This window comes from Homo sapiens, chromosome 14, assembly GCF_000001405.40.
Source record: "Homo sapiens chromosome 14, GRCh38.p14 Primary Assembly".
Classification (NCBI taxonomy): domain Eukaryota; kingdom Metazoa; phylum Chordata; class Mammalia; order Primates; family Hominidae; genus Homo; species Homo sapiens.
In genome coordinates this window covers 76,761,435-76,775,134 of record NC_000014.9, presented here as the reverse complement: position 1 = coordinate 76,775,134, position 13,700 = coordinate 76,761,435, and the positions used below count along the sequence as shown (strand labels likewise).

The 13,700-nt window shown below is 54.6% G+C and overlaps 1 protein-coding gene across 8 annotated transcripts in view, besides 2 other annotated features; it reads right to left on the bottom strand.

The window, feature by feature from the left end:
- The window catches only part of VASH1 (vasohibin 1), a 21,548-nt gene extending 7,881 nt beyond the window's left edge, over positions 1–13,667 (bottom strand). The window contains exons 1-6 of one of the 8 annotated variants that reach the window (XM_047431082.1): positions 12,005–13,667; positions 11,492–11,576; positions 5,663–5,846; positions 5,084–5,172; positions 3,889–3,945; positions 1,924–1,998 (exon numbers count right to left, since the gene is read on the bottom strand). In XM_047431082.1, coding sequence (XP_047287038.1) covers positions 1,924–1,994 — 71 coding nt within the window. In that variant the 5' untranslated portion in view covers positions 1,995–1,998; positions 3,889–3,945; positions 5,084–5,172; ... (1 more) ...; positions 11,492–11,576; positions 12,005–13,667. Of the gene's footprint in view, positions 1–419; positions 1,806–1,923; positions 1,999–3,888; positions 3,946–5,083; positions 5,173–5,662; positions 6,456–11,491; positions 11,577–12,004 lie in introns of those variants that run through there. The other 7 variants (XM_047431083.1, XM_017021087.2, XM_047431084.1 and 4 more) reach the window with 7 other exon arrangements.
- Positions 13,141–13,410: a silencer, noted in NCBI's record as "silent region_5958". NCBI's record gives its function as "represses an Ori minimal core promoter by ATAC-STARR-seq in GM12878 lymphoblastoid cells {active_cell/tissue: GM12878}" and the evidence as "EXISTENCE:reporter gene assay evidence [ECO:0000049][PMID:35858748]".
- Positions 13,511–13,700: a silencer, noted in NCBI's record as "silent region_5957". NCBI's record gives its function as "represses an Ori minimal core promoter by ATAC-STARR-seq in GM12878 lymphoblastoid cells {active_cell/tissue: GM12878}" and the evidence as "EXISTENCE:reporter gene assay evidence [ECO:0000049][PMID:35858748]".

Here is a 13,700-nt window from a genome sequence, read left to right as displayed (position 1 = left end):
TCCCAAGCACAGGGCCCTTGTCTGTCATGTTCTTCAGGGCCCAGCATCAAGCCGGGCACACAACAGTTACTCAGTGAAAGTTCTCGAACAAATGGGTAGAAGGACATGAATGGATAGAAGCGTGTAGCAGACACCATGTCCAGCACTGTGCTGCGTCTCACGGCACCGGCTCGGCCCATTGTCCTAACAACTCTACACACTGCCACTATCCCCCTTTGCAGAGGAGGACTCCCAGGCTCAGAGATGTTAAGGAACTTCCTTGGGGGTCACACAGTGAGTCAGCAGCCCAGCCACGATTCAAGTCCAGGTCAACCTGACCCCAAAGTCTGTGTTGAGACATTATGCCACGGTCCCTCCAGCACTACTCTCATTCCACCAATGCTTACTGAGCCTGACTCCTTGTAAGTGACCAAGGATACAGCGATGAGAAATGCACAGCCCGGCCCTGCAGAGGCTCAGAGTGCGGCGAGGACAAGACGTGAGAACCACGGCGTGTGCTGTGCCTGAGGGAGCTGTGGGGACACTGAGAAGGAGCCCCTCACCCAGATGGGGGCTGTTCCTATTTTATTCCTGCCCACAAGCCACCAGGTGACCCCTGAAAAGCTTTGAGACCATAGGACCCTGCCTGGAGTGACTTCTGTGTGTCCTCCTGGGGAAAAGGACCAGTCTCTCTCCTATGAGGGTGGGAGCCTCCACTTTGGTGTGTGACCCCTGAGGGAGAAGTGAACGTGAAGACATGAAGGAGGCACTGCCTGCAGCCTGAATTTCTCGGGTGGCCTCAGGCTTATCCCAGCAAAGAACCCCATAAACAGGGCAGGGATGTCGGGCTCCAGAAATGGGCCTGCCCTGTTAGCAAATGCCTGCCATAGTGGCGTTCCCTCCGAGACCTCTGCGGGAAGAGAAGGGCACCCGCAGCCTCTTTGTGTGAACTTCAGGCAGGCATGTCTGTGTGGGGGGTGGGGATGGACCCCTGGATCACAGTCCTCCCAGGACCTGCCCTCAGATGGGACTCCTGTTCCATCAGACCCCCTCCCCGTCACCCTCTTGGCTCCCACCTAATCTGTGCTCCTCTGCAGCACTGAGCCCAGTGGGCTGCCTACCCCAGGGGCGCAGGCAAAATGTTTAAAAGCTGGTAAAGAATACGGGCAGGGTGGAAGAGATGAAACAGAATTGGCTTTGAGTTGGTGAAGCTGAGTAACGGGTGCACAGGAGTTCATGATGTTGTTCTAGGTTTCACGTGTATTTATGACATTTTTAATAATAAAATGACTGAGAAGAAAAGGTAGGGCTCAGGCATTGACCAGTTAGGATGGAGAACCAGCCATAAACACTTCCTCCTCTCCCGCTGTTGACTGTGGGGCTGGGGAGGACAGCCTCTCCTGGTGGCTGGTCTGTCTCCAAGGCTACCCTGGTGACTCAGCTACAGGCCCCACTTCTGCCCTTTGGGTTGGAGGCGGGGGTGTGACTGGAAAACCTTGTTTGTGGTTTTTTTTTTTTTTAAGGCAGTTTTGCTTTAATATCTCGTCCAGAAATCAACATGTTCTGGAAATGCCAACATCTGGGCATTCCAACTGTGCCTCCCAGACTGTCTAGTTCTTGGAAATGGTACAACTGTCTTTGTGAGACACTGTGCCCTGATTTGGGGTTCAGAAAACGGTCCCTGTATCCACGTGACTCAAAAAAGAGCTGCCCAGTAAGCCTGGGAAGGTAGCAACTGAGATGTGGGGTACTGGGACCTCGGGGCTCCTCCATTTTGGGGGGTTCTTCCACTTTAGTGGGGTGCTTCTCCATCTTGGGGCCAAGCAGATGACTGCATATGGGAGAGCCCTGGAGCCCATTCAACCTACCCCACCCTCACTTTCAGAGCAGGAAGCTGAGGCCCAGAGAAGCCCGGACCCCTCCCCTTCAGGTGAGGAAGGATACATTCCCAGGATCACGGCTTCCAGGCATTTGATTGGCAGGGCCTCTTTGGTCATTTCCTTGGCCAGGTCCATCAGCCTGTGGGAAAGGGAGGCAGGTCAGTAAGGACAGCGCCTCCAGCCCCTCCAGGGGAATGTGAGAAGGAGGGGGCAGGGTGGACTAGAAATGCTAGAAGGACAGAGGCTGCCCCCTAAGCTGCTCTCAGCTCAGGCCCAGCACCTCCCTCCACACTCCCGACGGACGGAAGTCTGGAGCCTGAGGGGGTGGGAAAGAGGCGGCCACTGCTGATAGGAAGGAGGCCCACTCTCCCTGCTCTTCCCTTCTTTCACTTCCACCTCCCACGCCTGGCTCTTGCTCCAAAGAGCTCTGGGGGAGGGCAGCAGAAGCTGGGGGCAACTTCTCTCCAGCCACCAGGCTGGGGCCTTCTGCGAGGCAGTCGGGGGAGGAGGGACGTCAGCATCGATCTCTTCCCTTCTGAAGCACAGTAGACACCACTGACCCAACCATGGCTTCTCCCAGGAGCTTGTTAATTGACTGCAACTGCCTCCCCGCAGCTGCCTGAGCCTGGATGTGGGATCTTAGGCAGATAGTTACCTGCTGACTACAGATCTGCTCCTGAACTTGGAATTCAGGCCATTTTAAGACAGCCTTTCCCTGAGGCGTGGTTCCTCCCTCTGTCCCCAGCCTGGGAATTCAGCCTGGTCACTGGCTTTGCCCAGGAGGGCACCCAGACTCCTCCATGCCAAGTAAGGCTGGAGTGGTTCCCCAGCACACAGCAGCCACAGGCCAACAAAAGCAAAGCTTTGGGGATAGGGAGGGTGGACTCCATCCAGGGCCTCGGAGAGGGTGTAATTAAGTAATTTTGCTAATAAGCCATTTAAATGCATTTTCACAAAGAAGCAAACATAGATTATGTGTGGGGCAAGATGTAAACTTCATATGAAATTTTTTTTCTTTTTCTTTTTCTTTTCTTTTGAGACAGAGTCTCGCCCTGTCACCCAGGCTGGAGTGCGGTGGCGTGATCTCGGCTCACTGTAACCACCGCCTCTCAGGTTCAAACGATTCTCCTGCCTCAGCCTCCCAAGTAGCTGGGATTACAGGCACCCACCACCACGCCCAGCTAATTTTTGTATTTTTAGTAGAGATGGGGTTTCACCATGTTGGCCAGGCTGGTCTCAAACTCCTGACCTCATGATCCGCCCACCTCGGCCTCCCAAAGTGCTGGGATTACAGGTGTGAGCCACCGTGCCTGGCCAATTCACATGAATTTTTAAAGCCCAGGGGTCTTAAGTCTGTGGGCATCTTTGGGCAGAGCCCCTAGACCCAGCTGTGGCATTCACTCTTCACTCTCCTCTGCCCTCGGGGCTTCATGGGCAGAAACTTTCCAGGGGAAGTGAATCCAGGCAGGGGGCTACACACGGGGTGGCGGGATGGGAAGTGAGAGATGCAACATTCTCTCCAGGGAGCTCCCTGTGCTCAGACCCTGAGCCTGCTACTCAATGCCCAGAAAAGAGTCCACGGAGTAAGGCAAATGGGGTGACCATGCAAGTACCCTGCAATGGGAATCAGCAATGGGGAGTGCGGCAGCCGCAGAACAGAGAAGGGAGGGCTCTCTCCTGCAAGGTCCACCTCTCACTAAAAAACAAAAGATCTGAGGCTCACCTACAATCCACCTAGGACCACCCTCTCTCCTGGCCAAGGCAAGAGCTGGGGGCGGCTCTCCCACCCTCTAGCTCAGCATGGACCCGGGATTTCCTTTTCATCAAGGCAGCCCTGGCTGTTCATCTCAGCCGGATTTTTCTCTTTATGACATCCATAAGGCCCCAGGGTGGCACCTGCCCCCAAAGGCTGGCTTCCTTCAGAAGAGTCCCTGACTGCCCCATAAACTTCCTCTCCAAGGTGCACTATAGGGCTTTCAAGAAGCTCCAAGCCAGCCCTGGGGCAGAGGACTGGCCTCCCCATACTTACCCTGTCAGAGGTCTGCTCTTCTTAATTTCAAAGAACTGTGTCCCTGTGTGATTGTACCTGTGGGCACGGGTTAAGGGCTTCCTAGCTTGGCCTGAAGGAGGTTGACCCTCTCTTCCTGCCTATCCTGAAGCTCAAGAGCCAAGTCTCCTGGAGGGGAGATGGGGGCACAGCATGAATTCTTCTCCCCGCCTCACGCCTCCTTCTCTTTCCCTCTCCCTCACCCTCCTTGGCTTTCTCCCTTGTTCTCCCCTGGCTTCTCTTCTTAGGACAAGAGACATGGAGCAGGCGACCAGTTCGGCGAGGGCCAGAAAGAGGCTGTGGCTGGGAACAGCGCCCTACAGCACTTCATCTTCCAACCAGCTGAGAAGCCACAGGAACTGAGAGGAGGCTAGGGTAGGGGGTCCAACTCAGCCTTTAATTGCTCCTGAGCCAGCCACCTGCCTCACTGGACCAGTTTCCCCACTGGCAGAAGGAGGAGCTGGACCCGATATGCAGTCATCAGCCTGGCTTCTCCCGACCCAGGACCCATGCCTAGCTCTCCCATCTCTGACCTCTGCAGCCAGAAGCCTGGGAGAGAGGACCCAGGACACACAGCTCTGGGGCAGGGTGCAGGGGCAGGGTGCAGGGGCTAGAGCAGGGACACAGAGGAATCTGGGCCCAGGGGAGCCCAGCTCTTCCCCTGCTGGCCAACCATCCTACTGCCAGGGAAAAAAAGGAGAAGAACTGGAGAAAATTCTAGGATCCTGAAGTTACCTCCTGGAGCAGAAAATCCTTTTTCTCTGCCATTTTTCCCTTTATTCAAAATCAGACTTTTAAAAGCCCCAAGGCAGCTCCCTCTCTCCCCCTCTGCTAGGGCTGGGTGGACAACAGAGCAGATCTATCTAGACTTGGCCACCCCACCAGCAAGTCACTCAGGACCCATTTTCCTCTCTTTACCCCATCACACGGCAGGAGCGGGAAGGGGGTGGCAGAGAGTGCAGAGTGGGCCCTGCACTCATCAGACAAAATTCCTCCGACACCCAGGAGGCACACGCGCCGCGTCCCACAGCACCAGGGAGCACAGAGATGTCACGTGAATGGTGGCCCTGGCGTTGTGGAATGAGGCGGCTCTGCTGATACCTCTCCAGCTCTGCCTGGAAACAAGGCCCACCACACCGGCCAGAAGGTGGCCATGACCCTTGACCAGAGAGGATACTGCAGCTCTCTGATGTAGCGCTGCACAGCTTCCAGGCGCTCAGGGACAGGTGTAGACGGCTGGAACGTAGGCACACTCGGTATGGGGATCTGGGGACAGAGAAAGAGCTCCGGTCACAAGAAGAGGCTCACCTTGGAGCTTCCAGTCCACCAAACACCTAGGACTGGCCCCAGAGGCGCCCCACCCTGGGGAGGCACAGCCTCCCCTCCCTCCCACTTGAGCTTCCTTTCTTGGCACCCCACTCATTCGAAGACTCTTGCCAGGGCCCCAGCCCAGCCATTCCTTCCCTCCTGGGACTTAACAGCATTCCTCATTCAGAGTGTATGCTGATGTTCCAATTTTATGCTTCTTTAATAACTTCAGAAAAACATAGGTTAATTCACTGACTATTTTAAATTTTAAATATTCATTAGTTTCAAGACTTAAGAATATAATATTGGGGTTATTTTAGGTTTGAAGTTTGCTCTGGTTCAAGCGCCGGATCAAAGCTGGTATATCCGGGGTCCCATCTTCTCAGGTGGTGCCCTAGGCTTTGGGAGTGGTCCTGAGGGGGGTGAGCATCCTTGGTAGGGGACCCACCCAGTATCATGGGCATATTCGCCATGCCTTCCAGAGCACCAACTTGAACTGTCAAGGAGTCAGTCAGCGGTAGCAGGCCAGAAGGACATATTTTGGAACAGGTCTTGCTGTAGCTCTGTGGCTGGGGCATGCACAGAGGGGCCGGGTCCTCCTCCAAGTCTTCTCTTTCCTGCCAGCTCCACACCTAGTCAGTACAGGTTTCCAGGTACCCAGACAGTCTTCCTCCCCAGAACGCACTTTCCAGCACCCAGCCCAGAAATGGCAGAGGAGAGAACAGGCAGTGTTTCCCGATGCCTGGGAGCCTGGAGGCTGCTGGGGGTAAGGTCAAGAACAGCTGACCCCCAGGCTTCCCTCAGCCTCCAGTCTCCAGAAAAGAGACCATTATGCCAGTATGGGACCCTCTCCAGCCAGGGGAGCCCGGATCTGGCAGTTTGGCTGCCAACAAGTCAGTGAGGCCAAGGAGGCCAAGAGATACATCAGCTAGGGTCCTCCGAGGTTTCAGAACAGACTTCCTTGGGTAGAAGAACCAGACTTCCAGGGAAAAGGCCCACCCCTCAGGGCTCCCCCTTGTCCACCAGCACAGTAGCTGTAAGGCTCCCCACATAGAGAGGTCCCACCCCCTGCCCCCAAGCCTCCACCCGGCCCTCCAAGGCCACACTGAGCCCACCCACCCGATGGGACTGCTGAGAGTCACAGTCTGTGCTCAGGGGCACGTGTGAAGGGAAGGGGGTAGGGCTGGGTAAGGAGGGAAGGATGAAGCTCTTTTCCTCCTTTCCTGGGGAGGCTCTCGAGTGGTGGAGATGCCAGCCCAGCTTTTTAAATAATGTGACCGCAGTGGCTGGGGCTCTGACAAGGAGGGAAGTGACACTCCAGTTATCACTGCACACTCATGTCTGGGGTGTTGCTGATGGCACAGGCACACGGGACAGTGTCTGACAGACACCTCCTCTAAGGGGTGGAGACGCAGGAGGGAAGGGGCCCTGGTCCAGGGCCACAGCGTCGCCTGCACTTCCTCACCCTCCCTCCCGTCGGTCTTCTCCTTCCTGTCTGGGGAGTCCCTAGCAACCGCACTGGCTGCCCTGGCTCCTGAGCCGCTGACGTCTCTGTCTGGAGGGAGCCATTTCCCTTTCACATTGCTCCCCCTCCCCAAACTGGCACCACCACTTACAGTCACCAGCAAGATAAAACCCGGGGTGGGGGGCTCCCCCCTCTTCCTGTCTGGCCACTCTGTACCAAATGGGCCCCAGGGCCTGGCCTGGCCTCCCCATGTCAAGGATACAGGGGTGGGGAGGTGGAAGGGGAATTAGAGGAATTACTTAGCAATTTAAATAGCATGGCACATCCACCCAGTCACCTGATCTCTGCAGGTGGCAGCCCCTGCCAGGCAGGGAAGCATGCAGATTATCCCCATGCACAAGTGGGGATCCAGTGACCTTGAGGAGCTTGGGATAAAGATTGTAGTACACCCTCCCACAAGAAGCTGCAAAAAGGGAGCTGCAGTCCCAGGACTGGATCATTCACCCAGAGCCAGGCCTGGGCCGGGACCAGGCAGTACCCACGAAAGCACTAGCACCTGCTGTGCAGACAAAGGACCTAGGAGCTGGCTGCTCTGGGAGAAGGAAGGTCAAGAAAATACCTGGGGATTCAGAGGCAAGACCTTAAGGCCACCATCACCGAGGCTAGCTCCTTGACTCATGTCACCCCACTGCAGACAGCACCTGCACCTTTTTGTCTGAATGTTCATTACCTACATAGACTCGTTCACTCAAACACAAATAAGAAAGATTCTATATATGCAAATGACCAGGCCCATTTTAGGTCTTGCCCCTCACCCCCACCTCCGAAACAGGAGTCGGGAAATATTTCCTCACTGTTGAGTGGTGGGTTTAAGTGGGGCACGGTAAGGGGGAGTGGTATAGCCACCAGATCTCCCCAGGGAGCACTCCTCCTCCACAGCCAAGGCCAAGGATTCCCCCGGCTCCAGGAACCCCTAGTCCTGAGTTCTACAGAGACATTCTCACTGGAGGGGTCTATTTCAATCGAACACAATGAGGCCTGGGGGAGGTGGGGAGAGCTTGCAGCTGGATGTGTGCGCCCAAAAAGTGTGGCCTAGAGGGCAATAGGGCTGAGTCTCCAACTAGATCATCACTATGGATATTCAGCTCTGCCATTTACAGTCGTGACTTTTTATTTATTTATTTATTTATTTATTTATTTATTTATTTATTGAGACAGAGTTTCACCCTGTCGCCCAGGCTGGAGTGCAGTGGCTCAACTTCGGCTCACTGAAAACCTCATCTCCTGGGTTCAAGTGATTCTCCTGCCTCAGCCTCCAGAGTAGCTAGGATCACAGGCATGCACCACCACATCCAGCTAATTTTTGTATTTTTAGTAGAGATGGGGTTTCACCACATTGGCCAGACTGGTCTCGAACTCCTGACCTCAAGTGATCCACCTGCTTCGACCTCCCAAAGTGCTGGGATTACACCGCACCCGGCCTAGTCGTGACTTTAGTGAAGCTCCTGACCTCCCCTGTGCCTCAGACACTTCATTTATAAAGTGGGCACCAACACAAAATCAGCCTTATAGTGCGAATGAGATGCTGCAGGTCGAGGCCTTAGAGCAGGGTCAGGCACACAGCACAGACTTAATTTGTGTTCACTGTCATCATTATCAGTGTGCCTCGCACATGCTAATCCCAGCAACGTTACCCTTTTAGAGGAGATGTCCAGGCTGGGTGTAGTAGCTCCTGCCTGTAATCCCAGCACTTTGGGAGGCTGAGGCGGGAGGATGGCTTGAGCCCAGGAGTTTGAGACCAGCCTGGGCAATATAGAGAGACCCCATCTCAACCAAAAAATAAAAAAATTAGCCAGGCATGGTAGGGCACACCGGTAGCCCCAGCTACTCTGGAGGCTGAGGTGGGAGGATCACTTGAGCCCAGAAGGTAGAGGCTGCTGTGAGCCATGACTGTGCCACTGCATTCCATCTTAGGTGACCAAGCGAGACGCTGTCTCATAAATAAATCAAAGGAAAGCACTCTGGAGTCATAATAAGTAGCTAGAGGAGATGTCCAAATTCCCATTCTGCAGGAGCTCTGTGGCCTGAGCCATAAGAGACCATAAAAGACCTTCAGCAGCTGGGTCTGGGGTCAGTGGCCACTAAGCTTTTAAAGGGGGTGGAAGCCTGAAACATCAAGGACAGACTCTTATCAAGGAGCCTAAGCTGTTGCTGGATTTGGGATCTTTCTAGAAATTGTTGCCCTATAACATACTGGCATCATCCCTGTAAAGGCTGCTTCTCCAAAGCGCTAGTGGGGTGTCGATGAACACTCACTCCCTGCTCCATTACTGGGTATCTATTAGAGGCACTTAATGAAGCATCACATGCTTTGCATCATTAATTCCTCTAACATCCTCTTGATGGGCATTGCTATTAGCTCCATTTCACAGCTGCGGAAAACTGAGGCACAAGAAAGTTGCCTGTCTTCCTCATATAAGTAGTTATGGGAGATCAAGGATTTGAACATGGTAGCTTTGACTCCAGAGTGCTCTCCTTTTATGACACCAGCCTGCAGGGGTCCCAGACTCAACCACATGCAGGGGCCGGGCAAGTAACATACACGGGGCAGGCAGGCCTGGTAGGTGAGTGGTGGAGACAGTGGCAAGATGGGGGAGTAGGACTCACTCCCCAGCCCCAGCTGACAGCTGCCACGTGGGACTGCAGATTCCCATGTGTTCCCAAGTCTTCTTATTTTCTGAAAAGATGCCAAAACTCTGGATCTTTATGTGAGAAATCTCCCAATTTTCCCAACAAAACACTTCTTGAGCCCCACACTGTGTGGCCGCTGTAGGGAATGACCCTGTGCCAGCTCCAGTGGCATGGCCCCTAGGGATGGTAAGGGCGGGGTCAGCCCACCCTGCCACTGGCACCCTGGCACCCAGGCACCCAACCCACGCTGCTTCTCTCCAAGGCCTCCTGGACTCCACTGCACTCCCAGACTCTAAGGGTACCTTTCTACTCAGAGCCCAGGTAGAGGAGGGACCTCATGCAGACTCATGCGATTTATCTGAGATCTGTGGTTTGAAGAGGGGGAGGTTCAAATTTTTCCAAACCTCTCACAAAATTCCTTCTACCCTAGCGATGGAAGTCTAGGGGTCTGTCACAACACAGCCCCCACCCCTAGACTTCCTTCATCCGTGTCTTTCCTGTACATGAGGACTGAAGATGACAGAATGACATTACAGACCAGTTACTAGTGAGCTCACTATTTCTTTTTTAGTTCCCAGGAGTGGTGGCAGTTCTGCAGGGAACCATTCACACTCTTTTATGGCCTGATTTAGACATAAGCAAGATGGCTGGAGAGCTGCCCGACTTGTTCACGTGGGAGCAGGGTGTGACTCTGGCCTCATCGGGACAAATGATCTGAGCAAAACCCAGTCTTGCCGCTTGATAAAGCACATAAGTAAAGGTGATGGATGTCTGGCCGGGCGTGGTGGTTCACGCCTGTAATCCCAGCACTTTGGGAGGCTGAGGTGGGTGGATTACCTGAGGTCTGGAGTTTGAGACCAGCCTGGCCAAAATGTTGAAAATGAAACCCCATCTCTACCAAAAATACAAAAATTAGCCAGGTGTGGTGGTAGGTGCCTACAATCCCAGATACTCAGGAGGCTGAGGCAGGAGAATCACTTGAACCAGGGAGGTGGAGGCTGCAGTGAGCCAAGATCATGCCACTGCACTCCAGCCTGGTGGAAAGAGTGAGACTCCATCTCAAAAAAAAAAAAAAAAGGTAACTGATATCCAATAACCAGGTACTGGTTTGGGGCTTTACAGTTTGTTAAATACTTTAACACACAGTCTCTCATTTCTTCCCCACAATCAACCTCATCTTATTGATAAGAAAACTGCATCTCAAATAGGTGGAAGAGGCCATATAGATAAGCAGGTGACCCCTACCAATGTCAATATCCTTTGACGCAATACTTTCGCTTTCAGAATTTTTCCCAAGGAAATAATCAGAGATGAACCCCAAAATTTATATTTTAGAATGTTCACCATAGTATTCATTTTAGGAATAAAACTGGAAACAACATCCAACTCTAGGGGATTAGCTAAATAAATATTAAGTCAGTGCAGAGCACATTTATGCGGCCATTCCAAATCAATCTACATTTTGTTTCCCCTGGAAACATTAGGCAGTATTTAAACCTTCAACCTTTGATTCTCTTTTTCCCAGAAGACACTTTCTGATGGCTGTACCAATAACTTGGTAAAAACAAAACGGGCCACTTGTCCTCATGTCTAATTCACACTAACTTCCATTCTTCCTAGCCCCCTTCCTTCCAACCTGGGCAGGCAGGGCTAAGCACTGGGCTCTGAACTCAGTCCAAAGGGCTCTTTTTTGGAGATTTCAGGCCTCTGCATTTGGCAAAGTGCCTCCTAGTCTTGATCATGTTTTTTTTTTTTTTAATATCTGGCATGTATTTCCATATAGCAGCGTACAGCACAGAAACTCTCAAATACCCTTTCATTCAGCAAACACACACACTAGTGCCTGTTCTGTGCCAGGCACACAGGAGGCCTTGGGAAGACAAAGATGAATGAGATACAGCCTCTGTTTTCGTTGGTGACACAACTGAAGTATAGCTGTCATGGAGGAGGAGTTACAGCCAACACAGAAAAATTATTTCATTTTATGCTTCTCCATAAGACCTCTTCTAATGTGCTTGAATCTACTGTCCAACAGAGAAGAGGACCTGGACACTTCCCTCCACCACCACCCCCCGCCCTTCTCCTGAAGACCTGAAATTGAATCTCAGTTCTGCCACTTACTGGCTGTGGGATCTTGAGTTCCTACTTGAGTTTTCAGCTTTCTCATCTGTAAAATGGGAATCCAAACTGTACTTACGTCACAAGGCTGTTGGGAGAATTCAATGACATAATGCACGAAAATATTTTCTCAACATATGAAGCCCTGCATCTCCTTAGTCATTCATTACATTTGTCTGCTCACAGTTCTCTGGCTTGGCAAGTGTCATCAAGCAAATGAGACGTCAAGCCATCCTACTGTGTTTGTTAGTTCCATCTGCTGCTGTCCCCTCCTGTAAAACGTGGACATTTTAAAAGACAGCGGGGAGGGCCTCCTGGAGACAATGTATGTGAGCCTCCCTCCTAGAATGGCAGTGAGAGAAAGTTCTCCTAGACAGGTATGATATCACTGCATTTTAAAGATCTTACCGAGCCAGTGGTCCCCTGCCCCGTGGGAGGAGAGTGTGGCTTCACTCTTGGCCCCAAGGTCACTAAAACCTAGACTGTGCTATCACCCCCCTGACCCGTGTGTCTCACCTTGGGCAGGTCTGTGGCCCCACGGATCCGTTGCGCCACCTTCTCTCCATCGGGGTGGATCTTGGCCACGTGTTTCCACATCCTTTCCCAGGTGGCCTCATCCACAGGTAGCCCACCCCGGTTGACAAAGAAGGGGACGCCTCCGTCTCGCAGGTCCTCTTCCCCTTCCTCTTCTGGCTCCTCATCTCTCTGGGCTGAGGTTCCTTCGCTGGTCTCCAAACGCCTGACCCCAGAGGGGGCGGTGGCCGCAGCGGACGTTGGAGTGGCACCGCTGCTGCCACCCCCAGCCACCTTCTTCCCCCCTGGCATCCCTAAATCTTCGAGGGGGGTGGTGGAGGCGGGAAAACAACTGGCTCACAAGAGGCCTCCCACACACCGGCTGCAGAGATAACACATGGCCAGAGTGCAAGGCGCCTTTAAGAAATCAGGGCGTGGCTCCTGTACAATAAAATACGACTTGATAAAAAAAATCAGTGCAATAAGGTGAATTAGGGTCCGAGGGGGTGGGTTGTCTGGGGTCAGCCTTGGAGGCCTTGTTCTGTTTGAAAAACGGAATAAAGAGAACACACCCCAACTTGGCAGCCGTCACAAAGCACCCCCATCTAACTGCGAGAACAATGACGGGCAGCAGTGAGGGCTGGCAGAGCGGAGAAAAGTCGGAGGGAAACTGAGGCCAGACAGCTCGGACCAGCGGCTGCAGAAAGGACAGAGTCAAGGCACGGGTGCCCACTGGGCGCCCTGGGTCTCAGTTTCGGAGGGAACAAAATCCCCTACACAACTCTCGCACGCTCACATCTGCGCGCGCCCCAAGGAAGACCGAGGCGACTCCCGGCCGCGCGAGCTCGGAACCAAGACCCCCGGGCGGGAGAGCGGCGCTGGGGGGCGATTTCTCCGACGCGACGAGACAAGTCCGGGAGCCAAGACTCGCAGCTGGCCGGGAGCGGGGAGGGGGCGCGCGCCGACGCGCACATTCCCCGCCTGCGGCCAACTCCCTGCACAAAGTGGGCTTTGTCTGGGTCCCCTGTCCCCTCGTCCCCAGAAACAGCGGCGGAGTCCCCAGAAAGGGAGCGGGCGCGGCGGGGAGGCGAAGGCTGCGAGCCCCGAGGCCCAGCGGGTCCCCACTCGGGCGCGTCTCAGCGGGAGGACGGCTGGCACCTGGCGCCGCGCTGCACCAGCCGAGCCATCGCAGGGCACGGGGCCCGCGGCTCAGCGGGACCGGCTCGGGCGGCGCGCAGGGGCCAGGCTGAGGTCACTGAGCGGCGGGCTGCGGCCGCGGGGTCGCTGCCTGGGACTGGCTGCAGCATGGGCGGTGGCGCGGCCCGGGCGGGCGGAGGATGCTCCGTGGCTGTTCGCTCGGGCTGCAGCTGCCCTGGCTGAGGGTGGAGGAAGGACCGCGGGGCGGGGACCGCAAGCCCGGAGGCTCGCGCAGCCTCGGCCGGCGGATGTAGCTGGAGGCGAGTGACGAAGCCGGGCGAGCGCGCGCTGCGCTGGTGCCTGGGGAGCAGCCCGCCAACGCGGAGCCCGCCAACGAGAAGCCCACCAGCCGATCGCTGCTCGGCGAAGCTGGGGCCGCCGCTGCTGCAGCCCCGCCGCCCCTGGGCCCCGCTGCCGCCGACCACGTCCCCTGCCAGCCAGCCGCCCACCAGGCTCGACTACGGCCCGCGCCGCGCATGCGCTCCGTCCCCCCCTTAAAGGG